Below are 18,300 nucleotides of genomic sequence, written 5' to 3'. Positions count from 1 at the left end.
TGTATTCTGTGGCTAGGTAGAAAACAGAACTTATAAGTGATGAATTTGGATATTTTGCTGAGGAGCTTTCCCAACAAAGTGTGGAAAGTGCAGCCTGAGTTTTTATTGTTGCTTACTGTAAAATGTGACATGAAAGAGGTAAATTGAAGAAAGAACTGTTAAACAAAAAGGAACCAGAACACTGTGATTTGGAATATTCTCTGCCTATCCATATTTCAAAAAATGCTGAAGCATGTGCTAAACAGAACACCAAAGGTGTGGCTGGCAACCTTTTGCTGGAGAGATTAGGTTTATGACTCATAGATCCAGCCAACCATCTCAGCAGAAACCAGAAATAGAGATGAGGTTATTCAGGCAGAATCTGTGGAGAATACTCATGTCTCAAGGAGGTGTGGACCTCCTTGAGATATATAAGTGACCAATAAGGTTTTTGAAAATGGTATAGCAGCAAAAACAATGCCAGCTTAGACTGAGAAAGACAGACTCAATAAAATGAAGGAAAGCTGTTGGATTTCTGAGATTCTACACACAAAAAAATAGACTGATAGAACTGCTGAACTACAAACATCTGCTACCCTTTAAGAAAAAAGAATGACTCCAAAAGCAGAGCTGTGGATGCAGAGACAGAGACTAAAGAAGTGGGCCCTGAGGCCTCTGCAGGCCCAGAGAGTGGATTGATCCACACAGGTTCACTCAGGCTTTGAAGACAAATGGAGTTTTCCCTGCTGGAAGCTTGCTCCGAACCAGTGACCCCATTTTTTTTCACTTTCTGTCTTTTGGGATGGCAATGTTTATCCTATGCCTGTCTCATCATTGAATTTGGAAAGCAGATAATTTGTTTTCTAGTTTACAGATGGACAGATGGAGAGGAATTTTGTCCCAGGATGGATCATACCCAGCAGAACACCACGTGAAGTCAAAGGCAGAGATTGGAAGGAGGTATCTACAACCTATCTCTCTCAAATTTTCTTTTTCGATCTTAGACTTCCATCCTCCATAACTGTAAGAGAATAAGTTTCTGTTGTTTTGGGGCACCCAGTTTGTGGCCATTTGTTATGGCAGCTCTAGGAAATGAAAACGTTATCTTTTATTTTGCTGATTGCAAATTCTTTGTTTTTCGTGTTCCATAGCTTCACTCTGATATATCTAACTGTGGACTTCTTTTGATTTACCCTGCTTAGAATTCATTTGGTTTCTTGGATCTCTTGGGGTTCCTATTTTCTATTTGGTTTTGGCCTGGAAGTTCCTTATTCACTTTTGATTTTTTGATGCTTTAAATATATTTTAAAAATTATTTTTATAGAATTTTTATTGCTTTTAGTATAAGGAGTGGTGTAATTAACTCAGGCTAACTTTATTAGAGAAAGAAGTCTCTGCCAGAGTTTCTTGTAATAACCAAATAAAATCATGGCAATATTTTGCTTAATACTCTCTATGGCTACTTATTATGCTTCTGATCAAATCCTAAGTCATACACCTGACCCTGGTGATCATGCCTGGATAAAACTTTTCATTCACCTTCTCCTAGATCATTCTCTCCCTTGAAGCTCCGCTCCTTGCCATGTTCCTGCAATGTCTGCAGTGTTGTTGCAGAGATTGTTCCCACTGTAGGGAACAATTTCTCTCCTCTCTATTATTATTTTCCCAGCTAAATCTTAGTGATATTTCATTTTTTAATATTAGGATTCTAAGAGATGCAAATGACTCTATCAAATAAATTAAGGATGACTTTGAAAGTTAATATTTCAGGGCAAAAGAGTTTTCTCCCTAATCTTTCACATCACACCATGCAAATAGAATTTTTTCACTTCATTCTGTAGAGTTCATTTCTGTACGTATTTATTGAGCACCTCTATATATCAAGTATTGTGTAGGAGTTTTGGGGAGTGGGGGTTCAAAAATGAGTATGACATGATCCTTTCACCTGAAAGACTTCATAGTGTGGTGAAGAAGACAGATAATAAGAAAATAATTTTAATGTATTCTTGTTAGATAAAAGTCTGCAGAGAGAATTATGGTTGCCCAGAAGAGGGAAACTTTGCCAAGCCTGAGATTTCATAAAATTCCTTCTCAGTACCTTTTCACCAGGTCCTGTACAGTTCAAAATCCCTAGAGTCTAGAAAAGAATTTTCTCTGATTAAACTGGGTACCAGGAAAGGTAATTTTAGAACTAAAGATGGTTCTGTCTTTTGGCAACAACATAATCATTTATATAACTTAATTTAGCCAAGAGCTTTCTTTTCACACACAATAACAAACGAAGAGTTGTCCACCTGTCTTAAAAGAGTAACTTGTAAGATAATATTATTAGGTCTATTGACTGGGAAGTAGATTGTGATAAACTTGTAAAGCAAAACCCCCTTCACTCCAGAAAAGAATTACTCTCCTGACAATAGAGCAGTACCTTCAAATTGGGGTTTATGTACACCTGGGAGCACCAGGAACCTTTCCAAGGCCTACACAGGACCATGATTTTAAGGAAATCAACTTCCAGATCTTCAACTTTCATATGTATACTCTCGAAAACTACTAAAATTGTCTTCTGTGCTTTCCTAATTTCCACATTTCCATTTATAATCCCTCTTCTCAAACTTTATAAAAGTGAACAACTCACCTTTCCTGAATTGAATTTTACTTTATCATATTCTTAATGTTTGAAAAAACTTCTGAGGCACCAATAAAAGGGCGGTGGGGCAAGGAGCAGTTCCAAGTATTGGTATCAGTATTGACAAAGTGAATAACGCAAATGATTGGTTAGCAAATTTTTTTTGTTGAGAGTTTCCCTTTTCAATTATTTTCATCAAAATCCAGTGAGGATCTAATAGAGTTCTTAACAAATAGATTATTAAAAACTAATTTTCGATGATAAATCACTATGGAATTTTTGTTATATGTCTCAAAAGGAGTTCAAAGAATTGAATAACAGAGCCACAACAAACTCCATCCAGTTCCGTCTACTTATTTAGGTTAACTGTGTTTCTCAGGGCCTACATTTGTAAAAACGAAAAACAGAAGTGCCATTTTTAATTTTAGTAATGAGTAATGATCATACATAGATACAGCCCCATTTATTTCATTAAAAGATGCATTGCCAATAAATTTTATTCAACACATATTTATCAAAGTTTTAATAAATGTTTGGATCAGTTGTGCACTAATAAAAACGATAACTCAATCCAGACTGAATTTTTTTAATGCTTAGAGCCTCATGTTCACAAAATTTTTAAATTTCAAATACTATACTGAAAGTGTTATAGGCTAATAAAAGACTTTTAAGCATAAAAATGTATCATAAATATATAGGTAAAATTCTCGTGAAGGCATGGATTAGAAGTATGTGTAGAAAGAGTCAAGGAAAAGCTTGTTTATATATTTGCATTTCTATAGACAGATAAAACTGTTATGGTAACAAAATGTTTGACTGGATATAATTTAAAAACTGAAGTTATTGCTTTATTTTTAAATGCTGGTGTTTTAAACATATGGATATGACATATTCTCCATTTTTATTTTTATTATTTATCTTATTTTATTTTACTTTTAGACAAGTCTTAGTCTGTCACCCAGGCTAGAATGCAGTGGTGTGAACAGAGCTCACTGCAGCCTCAACCTCTCGGACCGAAGCAATCCTCTCTTATCCTCCTGAGTAGCTGGCTCCACAGGTGCACACCAACACATCCAGCTAGTTTTTAAGAAAGTATTTTGTATAGATGGGGTGGGCGCATCTCCCTTTGTTGCCCAGGCTGATCTCGAACTCCCAGGCTCAAGTGATCCTCCAGCCTTGGCCTCCCAAAGTGCTGGGATTATAGGCATGAGCCACCCACCATGTCTGGCCAGAACTGAGGCACTGAAAACAATGCCCTATTTCTTACTGTGAGTAAGGAACTAAGGTTTATATCTTTTGGTTCTATCCAAATTCCTCTGCCTGTGCTTACGGGCTGATCCCTAGAATTGCATGGTTGTCTAATTTTTTATGGAAAAACCATCTTTTCTTTTCTCATACTGGAAATTAAATTGTAATTTGATCTTATTTAGACCAGGTAGCCAATAAATATTTGAATGCTGTAACCAAGGCAACTAACGAGCCAGCCAATTGACCAGTCAATCAATTATAGATGAATACAGATTTCCAGAAACATTTCAAATTTTATTTCTGTCATCAAAGTGCCTACAATACAGCATGGCAACTGTACTTACAATTCAAAGAAGTGAGGTCTAAAAGTCATTATTTGAGTTTGAAATGCAGACAGCAATATTTGGTACAATACACACTTTAACCAATAAGTATACACAACATATATGTATATGTGATATATAAACATATGTATGTGTATGCATATATAACTGTGTGTGTGTGTGTGTGTGTGTGTGTGTGTGTGTGCACGTGACCCTTGAACAACACAGGTTTAAACTACTATGCAGGTCCACTTATATGCGAATTTTTTTCAATAAAAGTTACATAAAGTGCGCCTGCCTCTCCTGCCTCCCCTTTCACCTCCTCCACCTCTTCTGCCTCTGCCAGTCCTGAGAGAGCAAGACCAACCCCTCCTTTTCCTTCTCCTTCTCAGCCTATTCAACATGAAGATAACAAAGATGAAGACTTTTATGATGATCCACTTCCAATTAATGAATAGTAAATGTATTTCCTCTTCCTTATGATTTTCTTAATAACTAATAACCTTTTCTCTAGCTCGCTTTGCTTTAAGAATACTGCATATAACACATATGATATGCAAAATATCTGTTAATAGACTATGTTTTTGCCAAGGCTTCTGGTCAAGAATAGCCTATTCGTAGTTAAATTTTGGGGGGAGTCAAATGTTATCTGAGGGTTTTCAACTGCAGGGCATTAGTGCTCCTTGCCCCCAAGTTGTTCAGGGGTCAACTGTATGTTTTTATTAAGACAATTATCCTCTCTAAGGCTGGCTTCAGGGTATGGTTAGCCACTGGTCCTGCTAAACAGTATAGGTAGTAGAACAAATATAATTCATATCTCAGGTGATCTGCTTACAGGGTAACAACCTCCAACAGAGGAAAAACCTTACACAACGGAGGAGACCAGCAAACAAATCTGTTTCTACCACTTGCTTGTTGACACATTCAACGAGGAGCAGTTAACTCATCTTACTCAGCAGATATAGAACAGTTTAGGTGTTCTTGAAATCACATGATGAGTTCTACATGTACTCACGCTACATGGACTCAAAGATGCCTACTAATTGTCTGCAGCAGAACCTTTACAACACAATGTCTCAAAGTTAGTTTGCCAATGATAACCCAAAAGTGCTCAATCTAGAATTTATTTCCTTCATTAAGAAATAATTTGAACTTAACTGTAACTTTACAGAGTAAATTATTGAATTTGGCTTCTGATAAAAATAGAAATTCTGAATATACAGCATCATTTGTTTCATTTTGGATAAAAATTTAAAATGAATATCCTGAGATTGCTGAAACTGCCTTAAAATCTTTTGTTTCATTCCCATTAACATAGCTTTGTGAGACTTGTTTCTCTACTATCAGTTGTTAAAATTAAAGTAGGTCTGGCATCGTGGCTCACGCCTGCAATTCCAGCACTTTGTGAAGTCGAGGATGGCGCATCATCTGAGGCCAGGAGTTCAAGACCAGCCGAGGCAACAAAGTGAGATCTCTGTCTCTCCGAAAAAAAAAAAAAAAAAGCCAGACATGGTGGCACACGCCTGTGGTCCCAGCCATAAGAGGCCAGAGAATAGCTTCAGCCCAGGAGTTTGAGACCAACCTGGGCAACATAGTGAGACCCCCAAGACCCTCATCTCTACAAAAAATAAAATATTAGTGGGGTGTGGTGGTACATGTCTGTAGTCCCAACTACTTGGGGTCTGAGGTGGGAGGATCACTGAGCCCAGGAGGTCAAAGCTTCTGTGAGCCATGATCGCATCATTGCACTCCAGTCTGGGAGACAGAGTGAGACCCAGTCTCAAAAAAAAAAAAAAAAAAAGAAAGAAAGGGAAAAAAAAAGAAATTAAAGTAGATTAGATATGTTAACAAGTAAGAAGCAAGCTTACTTGTCACATTAAAAACTGTATGTGGGTAGTTTAATGTATGTAAATAGTGTTTAACTTGGGAAGTTGCTTTTCATTCATATTTTTGTTTAGTTACAATTGTGAAATGACAAAAAGTTATTGGCAAAACAGTGATTTTTCTGTATTAGTTGTCTACATACATATTTTCACTGAATAATATGGATAATTTTTGTAATTCTTTCATTTTTAACATTTGTTCCAATGGCATTAATTAAAATATAATTTTATGTCTACAGGATCTAATAATAAAAAATTGGAATTATATCTTATATGTCTTTTAAACTTTGTTCATTTTATTTATTTTTTAATAACTCAATGTTATTCATATTTTCTAAAACCATTAGTTCATGACTGATTCAGAGTAAAAAACATACACACAAAAAAACTGGAAGTTAGCCACACTGAACTAGGAACTGAAAGTCTCACTGAACTAAGAGACTTTCTGAGTCTCTGTTTTCTGTTCTATGAAACAGGAATGTCAATACTTTAGAAAGATACTGTATAATTGAATAAAATCATGAGTAACACATTCCTGGTCTCTATTAGTCATTCAATATATGTAATCTTTTATGGCATATGCATTTAGACTATTTTAATAATAATATCTAGCCTCCATAATGTTATGTACTATTCTACATTCTTCCTGTGTATTAACTCATTCAATCCAAGTCCTGTGAGATGAATAATATTATTAGCTTCATTTGACAGGTTAATAAGCTAAGGGCCATAGTCAGTTTTCACTAGGTAATGCTGTAATAAGAAACAACGTCAAAATTCCAATAGCTTCTAACAATAAATACTTATTTCTCACATATATTATTTTGGTGGCTGCACCTCACTTTCCTTAGCTCTTCTCTGTGGGTCTTCTCATTCCAGGCCCCAGGCTGAAGGAGTAGCCCCCTCTTCTGAGGGGACACATCATTTCCTTGGAAGAGGGTAAAAGCAAGAGAGATGGTGGAAACCCACTGCAGATCTTGAAGCTGCTTGCTAGATATAGTATACACCATGTTTACTCACATACCACTGGCCAGAGCACACTCATGGCCAAGAACAAGGTCAATAGAACAAAGAAGTATCATCCCCTTAGAAGAAGGAGAAATGATTATTCAGGAGCAATAATAGTCTGTCACAGTTACGCTGTCTTTTTTTGTCCCTTTTGTTCTGCTATAACAGAATACTTGAGATTGGGTAATCTCTACAGCACAGAGATTTATTTCTGAAAGTCTTGGAACTAGGAAGTTCACGGTCAAGGGGCCCACATCTGGTGAGAATTGTCTTGCTGCATCATCCTATGATGGAACGCAGAAGGGAAAGAGGGCATGTGCATGAGAGAAAGTTGGAGAGTGGGGGAGAAGGGACTGAACTTATTTTATCAGGAACCTACTCCTGTAATAGTGGTGTTAATCCACTCATAACTGCAGGGCCCTTGTGACATAATCACTATTTATTTATTTATGCATTTATTTATTTGAGATGGGGTCTTACTCTGTCACCCAGGTTGGAGTGCAGTGGCACAATATCGGCTCACTGCAACCTCCGCTTCCCAAGTTGAAGCAATTCTCCTGCCTTAGCCTTCTGAGTAGCTGGGATTACAAATGTACGCCACCACACCCGGCTAATTTTTTTATTTTTTTATTTGTAGTAGAGACGAGGTTTCACCGTTGCCGAGGCTGGTCTCAAGCTCCTAACCTCAAGTGATCCACCTGCCTTGGCCTCCCAAAGTACTGGGATTACAGGCATGGACCACCACACCCAGCCCTAATCACTTCTTAAAGGTCCCACCTCTTCAGGCTGTTGCTTCCAACACATGAACTTTGGGGGACACATTAAAGTCACAGCACACAACTTGTGAGAAATTATGCTAATATTCAAACCTAGCAGTCTAGCACTGAAGTCTATTCACATAGCATCATCTCTCCTATTCCCAAGAAGGTTGCATCAGATGGAGAAAGAAAAATCCCAGCAGTGCTTTCTCTCTCCTATATCCAACATGGTATAAAAATTGATGACTATATAGAATCCATGAAGCCAGACAGAAAGCCCAAGGACAAGAAGTTCAAGGTCTCTCAGGCCTATAGAGTTTCATCATCAGTGTATTTTCAACCATAGAGAGAGATGCCTAACTTGGAGAGCACAGATGAGATACTTAATAAATGTCCATGTTCCAGTTCCAAATAATGACAAATGTTAGAATTTAAGGTCAGTATCTGCTATTCTCATTCTGTTTTCTCTTTTCTTTTAAATGTTACTTAAGACAAAAGAAAGCTTAACTCCTCAAAAAGTACATTTGGCACTGTACTGTTAGGCTTGTTTCCAAGTAGTAATATTATTAACAATATGCTGAAGATACTGCATTAACCATCTATTTTGCACTGTCTCATTTAATATGCATATATGATATAGTGCATTTATAATTTTCTCTTTTGTTTAAGTCTATGTGTAGATTGTTTGCCACCTAGTGGCAGTTGTTTTCAACTCAAACATTAATATTCATGACCAATTCTAATTAGTTTGGCAATGTGCTTTTTTTTTTTTTTAAGGAAAGATTCCAAAGTCATAAAGTGTTTAAAAGTGTTGACAATGACATTATTCTGCTCTAGCAAACTTTAAAAAAAGTACCTTGCAAATTTGGTTCATATTTAATCCTTGACAATGATAGATGAGGCAGTGTATTCAGAAGTCATTTCCTGTTGCAAGAAGAATGTAGAGAATGATAAAATGAACATTTCAATTTTTAGCAAATAATACTAGGATGTTCTTTGGATGTGTTGGTTTTCGGTTTTACATTCAGTATTGCTTGGCAAAATATATACACATAGCTACTAAATTGACTTATCTCATGCGTATGTTCACCTATGTAACTTAAAAGAGTTAATCAGTTAGTAGTGATGTTTTAATTGTTAACATTTTATTAAAAGTTATCTAGTCAAAATCTCATAAGAGCCTAGGCAGCAGGACTGAAATAATTTCCACAAATAATATAAAAACAACATTCCACGTTTTACAAAAACATAAAATCCCAAACTTCCGTATTTAATGTATTTGAATATATTAGAATGGTAGGAGGAAAGAGACATGGAATCATGAAGTGGATATAAAAGGGAACAAGTGAAGGAATGAATTAACGACTAAGCTAACAGAAAGGAGCTTAGAGGCAGGGCGCGGTGGCTCACACCTGTAATCCCAACACTTTGGGAGGCCGAGGTGGATGGATCACCTGAGGTTAGGAGTTCAAAAAGGGGCTTAGAGGATAATGTGTCTTGAACTGAAAACTCAGTGATGATGAAGATCAACTAAATCTCTAAATGTGAGGTCCAAACAATAATGAGGGTGGTTTTACATTCAGGAATCAAATTTAAAAGTATTTTTTTCAAAAACGAAATTTTCCCTTTCAAGCAAAGGAGGTATTTCTCTGAAGTACAGGAGATACTTATTTTAGTTGGATGATTTGGGGTTTGGGATCGTTGTAAACAGTCTGAGGTTATTTATATTTCAAGTTCACCAGGTCTTGAGATTTTGAATATACGGTTATTAAATGGACAAAGTTTTGAACTGAAAGGTAACTGTCTGATACAAACACTTGGTAGAAATAGAATAAAAGAGAACAGAGATTTAACAACAACAATAACAAAAACCCCAGAGATATTTAAGGAGAGAAATAGCTGGCCCACTTGGTTTGGGTCAGCATTTCTCAAATGTTGGCTGCTTCCCCCCTCGTAAAAAAAAAAAAAAAAAAAAAAAAAAAGATGTCGGGCATTGCTCCATAGGAAAAGATGGTGTTGTTGTAGGGACACCACCTACTCTCTCCATTTTGCAAACTCACAGAGAGCATGAGCACATTAAAGTCTCAGAGATGGCCTGCATTAAATAAATAAGCCTGCTTGACTTCACCGAACTTCGTATTTCTTAGACTTATTTGACCAAATGATGTTTGTTCCTGCAAAAGCCGTTAACATCCTGAGTTTTGCAAACTTAGCCTTTCATGGCCGTTTCGCAAAACAGTAGTTTAGGCAGACTCCCCTCTGCTATCCTTTTGCGTTAACCTCCATTTTTCATTTCACAGGATTCTTTGTGACGCCTGTAACTATACGAATTTCCTTGAAAATACTCACAATCGTAAAAATAGCATATTCTTGAGAAATGGGACCAATAGGATATACCTTATAAGAGAAAGAGACATATAGGAAGCAATTTATTATAAGAAGTTGGCTCACGTGATAATGGAGGCTGAGAAATCCCAGGATCTGCGATCTGCAAGCCAGTGGTGTACTTCCGGTCCAAACCCAACAGCCCAAGAACCAGACAAGGGGAGCCAGTGTCCCAGTCTGAGTCTAGAACTGGGGTTGGGGTGCTGAGCAGGCAATGGTATAAGTCCTGTTCTGAGTTGGAGAATCAGGAGCACATATGTCCCAAATATATATATGCTTATTGAAAAATTTTAGACCATAGAGATTTTTAAGTAACACATTTTATTTGAGAAATGAGATCGTAGCACACCTCCCAAGCTATACCTCCCCTTCTTCATTCAATAATACACCTTAGACATCCCTCGTCAGTATAGTCACATCATTTAACTTGGGATTTTTTTTTTTTTTCTAACCGCCACAGAGTATTCCAGCGTAGGGATGAACATGAGATCTGGGGGCAGGTTTAGAAGCAGGATTGAGGAACAGGACACACCCAGCCCACGCAGGCACCCAATTGGAGTAGGGACCCAGGAGAATGTGGCAACAGGCGAAGGAGCCTGTGGTCCTGGGCAGTGTGAGGGAGTCAGGAATCCATTTTAAACATGAGAGGAATGAGGCTAAGGCAGGAGATAAAATGAGCAACCATGGAAGTTAAGAATAGACCAGGCAAGACTGGGCTCGGTGGCTCACGCCTGTAATCCCAGCTCTTTGGGAGGCCGAGGCGGGCAGTTCACGAGGTCAGGAGATCAAGACCATCCTGGCCAACGTGGAGAAACCCCGTCTCTACTAAAAATACAAAATTAGTCGGGAGTGGTGGCGCTTGCTTGTAATCCCAGCTACTCGGGAGGCTGAGGCAGGAGAATTGCTTTAACCCGGGAGGCGGAGGTTGCAGTAAGCCGAGATAGTGCCATTGCACTCCAGCCTGGGCAACAGAGCGAAACTCTGTCACAAAAGAAAAAAAAAAAAATACACCAGGCAGGAAAATGACATGTGTCTAAGGCAAAACAATATTCAGTACGATTTTTGAACATTTACCATATACCAGGCACTAGAATAAGTACTTTACTATTTTTTTAAATTGTCACTAAAACAAAATCTTTTGAGAGAGATATTATTATCTCCATTATACCTATGAGGAAATCAAGGATTAGGAAATTCAAGCACACTAGCAGAGATGAGAAGGCTAGCAAACCTCAGGGCCATGTGTCTGACTTGAACAGTCGAGCCTCACTTATCACTACAGCTCACGGTCCAGGGTACACACTAGGTGAGAGAGGCTGTGATGACTCGTATGTAGGGGCCTGGTGTGACCACATGACTCAGGACAAGCCGTTTACCCAAGATTACCAATATTTTTAGTAGCATAGGAGGTAGGGAAGGTGTCAATGACAAGGTGAGGAAAATGCTGCAATGCTCTGTTCTTTTCCTGAATGTAGATGTTTTCTCATCTCTTTCCTTCTAAAGCCACCTGAAGAATGTCCCAAAACCATGTGGCTTGACATCTTTTAAACTTACATTGTCCTGGTGCCTTCACTACATTTTCTGACCAGCTTTCTCACACTTTGTCAAAAAAATCATCCCTGGCTCTCCCTGCTCACTCTGCATTTGGAGGAGGACTTTCCCTTCTCCAGCCTCCTCCATGTCCAAGTCAGCCTCACTGGCTCCACCACCCAAACTGAGCTTCTTCTCATTCAATTGTGAGCTCCTGGAGAGCAGAAATAGTGACTTCCTGTCTTTGCACATGCAGTGCCTCGTGTTGCTCTGCCTGGAACAGACACTGGCATGAGAACAGGAGCTCAGACATGTTTATTGCATGGAGGGTGAGACATTTGGCCACAATTGAGGAAGAAGAGAAGACAGGTGTGTAAGATTCACTTTCTTGGTTTCCGTGGGAATGACATGAATGAGAAAGACAAAATAATGTGAGTGGACATGATGTTAAGATGATTCACCAGGAAAGTAGCTAGAAAGTGTGTGGCTTACTTTACAAAGGGAAAGAAAAGGAATTGAATGTAAATTTTTTTCAAATGTTTTACTCAATTTTCCCTGTCTATCATTCAGGTATAAAGTAAGAGTCCAACCATATATTCTTTACATATACATATACACACATATATATCCATCATATATGTATATACACACACACATAATTTTTTCTTATATATGTGATATCTATATAAATATCTATAAACTTTATACACATGTAAAAAGCTTAGTCATCTGTACCTAAAAATCCAGCTATCATTGGGATATACACTTATAGGCATTGACATATCATGCTTTTATTTTATGAAACACTTCATCATAAATTAGTTCCTTCCATATTGAGGAAAGATTTGCAGAACAAAAAGTTCTCACAATAGAGATGTTGGTGAGTCACTCCCACTTTGGTGACTCATGCCATTTTGGTTTTATAACCATTTAGTAATATGATAATAGTAATTCTTGAATTCCATGTGCCTCTACAGACCTCTAAAGATCACATAGGCAGTGTGAAGCAGCAGATAGAGGCCTTAGAATTTTAATTCTAGCTCCACTGCTTCTGAAGTGTGTGCGTTGGGGTAAACTCTAAGCTTTCATCTCTCTCTGTGTAAAGTATCTACCTTAGACAGCTACTTTGAGGAGTAAAGAAGGTAAGCAACAGAAAAAGCTAACTCATATTATGTTCTCAAAAATGTTAAATGTATTTTTATCCTCCTGCTGCTTCTCCTAATGGCAATAAAAATGTCAGGTAATAGGCCCAACAGACATTAACATTCATTTAAGTTAAAGCATATATTTATATATTTTAGCCTATTTTTATCGATTAGCAAAGTGAGCTAAGATTAGTTGCCTGCCTAGATGGTAAGTGTTTGAGGCAAGACTTGCAATCATGTTTTTTGTCAAAGGTGTTGTATTCCACCTACTGTAACATTCTCTCTGGGAAGAGAGGAAAGGGAAGGATGAAAGTAAGAATCATGGAATTGAATATTTTGAGCATTCACTTCTCACAATCTTTCTAGGGTAGACCATATTGTGTAGTTGATAAAAGTGAGACACAGAAAAGTCGAGTAAACTTAACCAAGGTAATAGCAAAGCCAGAAACCATGAGTGGGCAAAATTGGAAAATTAGTATTTTATATTCCAGGGGTCTCTGTGGTCTCTTGTTATTATTGTGACTTGTTTGAGTGGCTATGGTTTCTATGCTGTAGCAATTTGCAACAATAAAAAAGATGACATATTGAAGGCCTATTTGTGCCAGCTTCCAAATATTTCAATTCAGCCAACATCTACCCAGTCTCATCTGCAAATGCTACATTTAAATGTTTCTTCCATCCGCAACGTTTCCCTTACTCGTCTTGCTAATAAGTGAAAACCTACCATTAAAAATTAAACCTTTGGATTAATGGTCTGCTTCTTGTTAAAATGCAGAGTGTTTTTTCCCCATATCAGTATCAGTATCAATCTTCCCCATATCAGTAATTTGTATCTTAAAGTGAATTAGCTTGCCAGATCCTTGCCTCCCACGTTTTATAACAATGAGGAGGAATGCCATACAGCAGTAAAAAATGAAGACTGTGAATACATTGTGTAGGCTGACCTCACAGGAACATGAACTTGATTCTCTGCTCCACTTGGCCCATTTAGTTCTGTTCAGAAAAGGCTGTAGTGTATGTACATAATAGAACATCATGCAGTTATTAAAATCATATTTTTGAAGAAAATGGGAAAACTTCCCTAGTGAATCATTAACTAAAAATAATAGGGCTGGGCATAGTGGCACACACCTGTAATCCCAGCTACTTGAGAGGGTGAGGCAGGAGATCACTTGATTCCATGAGTTCAAGACCAGCCTGGGTGATATAATGAGACCCCATCTCAAATACTACTACTACTAATAATAGAAATAAAAGTTGTACTTACCACATGATCCTAACTTTTTAACATGGGTATGTGTGTGTGACACACACACACACACACACACACACACACACAAAGAGATAGGAGACAGTATTTTGGTCAAGTCAGAGACAAGATGATGTGAGCCCAGCTGCTTGCAGCATAAAACCTACCATGCTGCAGAGGTTACCTGTGAGCTCAGGGTGAAACAGCCTCTCACCTGCCGTGAAATCTTCCAGGAGCTGTTGCTGCCGCTGCTGCTGTGTCTCCTTCCTCTTCCCCATGAAATAAAATTAAAAGAACTTCAAACAATACTGAAGGGTGAAAATAAAAGGGCCTTAAGATCATGTAACTCCTTACCATATCCTGGAGGTAAACTCTTCATTTCTTATTGTGGCTTCCAGAAATATTTTATTCATATGGAAGTATGTATCTCACCTCTATCATTTCGTTTCCATATATGGATATACTCTTCTGCACCAGTTTACTTTCTACTTTAGAAGTCTACTTCTAAACGACTTTCCATGTGAGTATTTATTATATTTCACAAAAACTTATATAGTGCTTTCTATGTGCCAGACCCTTGTCTAAGTGCCTTGCAAATATTGTATCATTTTATCTTCATAGCAACTTCATAGCAAGATGTCCTATTCTTGTGTCCATTTCATAGACAAGCAAAGTGAGACATATGGATATTATGATGCTTGCTATAGATAACCCCAGCTATAAATGGTGGTGCCAAGTTTCAAACCCGGGTATGATTCCAGAGTCTGCACTGAGCCTTCAGAATCTGCTCACTAAGCTGAGCTGCTGGTTTGCATACATAGTATATATAAATCTTGGTGGATAAATAGATGTCACCTTTCTTAACAGCTGAGTGATATTCCCTTGCATGAACGGCCACAATCTATCAATCTAATCTCCTATTTATAAAACAGATTGCTTTCAATTTTTTTATAATTACAATAATTATTACTATAGATGTTATTGCACTTATCTGTCTCTGTGTAAATGTGCAAGATAGACTCAGGATAAATGCTCAGTAGTGGAATTGCAAAATAAAAATCACTTAAACATTTGATAAGTAATGCCAAATTATTTCACAAAAGTTTTCACCAATTTTTCCTATAAGAGTGCTTATTTCTTTCACACCCAGAAGCTTTTTGCTTGCCAACTTATCAACAGGGGAGGGAGGAATCTGAGATTCGTCTCTCATTATTTCTATTTGCATTTTTAAAATTAAGAGTAAGATTGGGCATACATTTATGTGTTTATTGGACATTCTATTTTGTCTTCTAAGAGCTGCCTTTCATGCTTTTTATCCTTTGCCACTTTGTCTGGTAAGTTAAAAAAATTGATTACCAAGTGCTTTTCATTTTTTAGGGATGTTAGCTTTTGTCTGTCATATGTTGTGCATATCTATTTTCCCAGGTTAGAGGAAGTCTGTATCAGCCAAGTGAACATTGTGAGGTAGGATTTTCAGATATGGCAGTTCATGTAAGCATTTCCTTCCTTCCTTTCCTTCCTTCCTTCCTTCCTTCCTTCCTTCCTTCCTTCCATCTTTCCTTCCTTCTTCCTTCCTTCCTTCCTTCCTTCCTTCTTCCTTCTTTTTTTTTCTTTTCTTTCTTTCTTGTGATGAAGTCTCTGTCACCCAGGCTGGTGCAATCATAGGTCACTACAACCCTGAACTCCTGAGCTCAACCAATCCTCCTATCTCAGCCTCCTGAGTAGCTGGGATTACGCGTGCATGCCACCATGCCCACGTGGGCATTTCTTGAAAGTTCTCTCAGTGAAAAGCAAGGTAATAATAAAGCCCAGTTAAGACAATTTCATGGGGCAATAAAACAACATGGCCCCAGTACATAGCTTTGGATGATCACACATGATTAGAATTAGAATACTGAAATGGAGACATTGTTTTCCTTCAAAGAAACACACTTTTTTTGTCTATCTATATGCCGATATTTAGATCATTATCTACATTAAACCTAACATATAATAAAGATTTATTTCATAGCAATGGAAAAAGAATGGACTATAAAATACATGCTATTTCTGACAATTAGAACATTTGGGGAAAAAAAAGCCTAAACTTCTTTGTAACCAACAAATAAAAATAAGTTATCAGATTGGCACTACATTTTTTGGGATCATATCCAAAGGAAAATAGACCTTCACATATACTGAAAGTGTAAATCAGTGTAGGCCTTTTGGTAGTCTCTATCAGAGCTGAAAATCTGAATCTCTTTCTCCAATGGTTCTACTTATAGCACTCTATCCTTTAGAAGTAGTCATATTTGTGTAGTACACAATATGTGTTGCTTGTATTACCAAGTAAACCAATCAACTAAACAAAGCAACCCATAGAGGAAACAATCTCAATACACACATGTAGGTGAATTACTAAACAATTCATGGTGCATTCCTGTTACTCAATAACATGCACCCTCTAAAGAAATAACATGGCTAATATCAGCCAACATTTATTAGCACTCAGTACATGCCACATACTGAGCTAGGTGCGTTGCATATTTTTTTTATTATACTTTAAGTTCTAGGGTACATGTGCACAACGTGCAGTTTTGTTACATAGGTATACATGTGGCATGTAGGTTTGCTGCACCCATTAACTCGTCGTTTACATTAGGTATTTCTCCTAATGCTAACCCTCCCCCAGCCCCCCACCCGATGACAGGCCCACAGTAATACTTGCATCTTTCTACTCTTATTGAGATATTGGCTTAAACCATACATTTCACGTATGGTTGGATTATCTTGAGAACACAGATCATATTTTCTAATTTCTTTTCTATACACACATGTGATACATTTGGAAATTTAAATTGCACTAACTGGTTTGATCCAATGCCACAAACATATTCCTTTTCATCTTTAGCTGTCAATACATGAATTTCATATGTAATTTATTTTTATATTTAGTTTGGACAAAATTAGTTAGATACTTCAAATTATATAAGGCTTTATGAGAAAACATTAAAGCTAAGATCCTTTTATTGCATGGAATTCAGAAATGCTTTATGTCAAAAATTGGGGTTGAAATGCTCCTTTAACTTACATCTTCCAATCACTTTGCATATTTGGAAAACACTTCAAATTGATGAGGTGCTTTCTTCATCAGAATGTTTGATGTTAAAATCCAGTTATTGCTCTGATTTCCCTGCAATGTGTGTTTTAAATCAGAAACTTAAAATAAACCCTAAGCTTACTTAGGTATGATGAAAAGGTAATTAAAGATACACAAAATCATTCCCCTTTTATATTAGGGCTACATAAGATAATAATCATAAACTTCAACTACTTCAGTAACCCGTCTCAAAAATTAGCATTTCAATATTTTTAAAAAATCTATTCTTCCCTAACAAAGTGTGGTCTGGAAGGATCGATTTTTCCAAGAGTTGTCAGGTTTTTTTTTATCTTGTTTATTTAAATTCAGGAAAGACTACAACTTCCTAAAGTATCACAAATTTGCGACATTGACAGGTTTATCTTTTTATCTCTGGTATAATTATATAGATCTCTTTTGCATCGGTACTTGCCACTCTTTCATTAACTCGAATAAAGAAATCTTTTTATGCCTTGTATTGTTTTAACATATTTCCTCTTGACATGAAAGACTATTTCATTGTCAAATTATTATAACCTGTGCGGTGCCATATCTGCATTTATGTTGAAATCTTATTTAATTTTACCTTTGTCATATGGGAACTGAAGTAATTTAAGATGTGATATTAAATTTTGGATACTAATAAAAAAATTTTTTTACATTAATAAAAATTCTTTTTATACTAAAGGCTTGCTTAGTATTCCAGTTGCCCTCTGGAAACAGCTGAAGGACCTCCTTAGGGTGAATCATGTTGCACTGAGGATTTTCTGCTTTTCTGATAATTAACCTCCCTTGGCAGACCAAGAGAGAGCCACACAATGCCAAATTTCAACACTGTCTTTGGTCGTATAGTCAAAATTTTTATTTAACAGAATGACTGATGTGATTCAAAATAATTTTTTAAAAAGCTAATGTACAAATTTTAGGATCTCATAAAACTTGAAGCATATGTTGAAAGCCAATCGAATATAATCATAACAATATTAGCAACTCTTTCAGTGTTTTTCTGAAAGCAGGTTTGAAACAGGAAGATAAAGATAAAATGAAG

The 18,300-nt window shown here is 37.0% G+C and overlaps 1 long non-coding RNA gene across 1 annotated transcript in view; it reads right to left on the bottom strand.

Moving 5' to 3' along the window:
* LOC105377999 (uncharacterized) overlaps positions 1-18,300 on the bottom strand; it is a 92,281-nt gene that overhangs the window by 45,487 nt on the left and 28,494 nt on the right. Inside the window, exon 4 of the long non-coding RNA XR_942986.3 lies at positions 14,349-14,403. This is a non-coding gene — a long non-coding RNA (uncharacterized LOC105377999). The remainder of the gene's footprint in view (positions 1-14,348; positions 14,404-18,300) is intronic.

This window comes from Homo sapiens, chromosome 6, assembly GCF_000001405.40.
Source record: "Homo sapiens chromosome 6, GRCh38.p14 Primary Assembly".
NCBI classification, from domain to species: domain Eukaryota; kingdom Metazoa; phylum Chordata; class Mammalia; order Primates; family Hominidae; genus Homo; species Homo sapiens.
The sequence above is the reverse complement of the archived record's forward strand: the minus strand, read 5'-3'. Positions and strand labels throughout refer to the sequence as shown.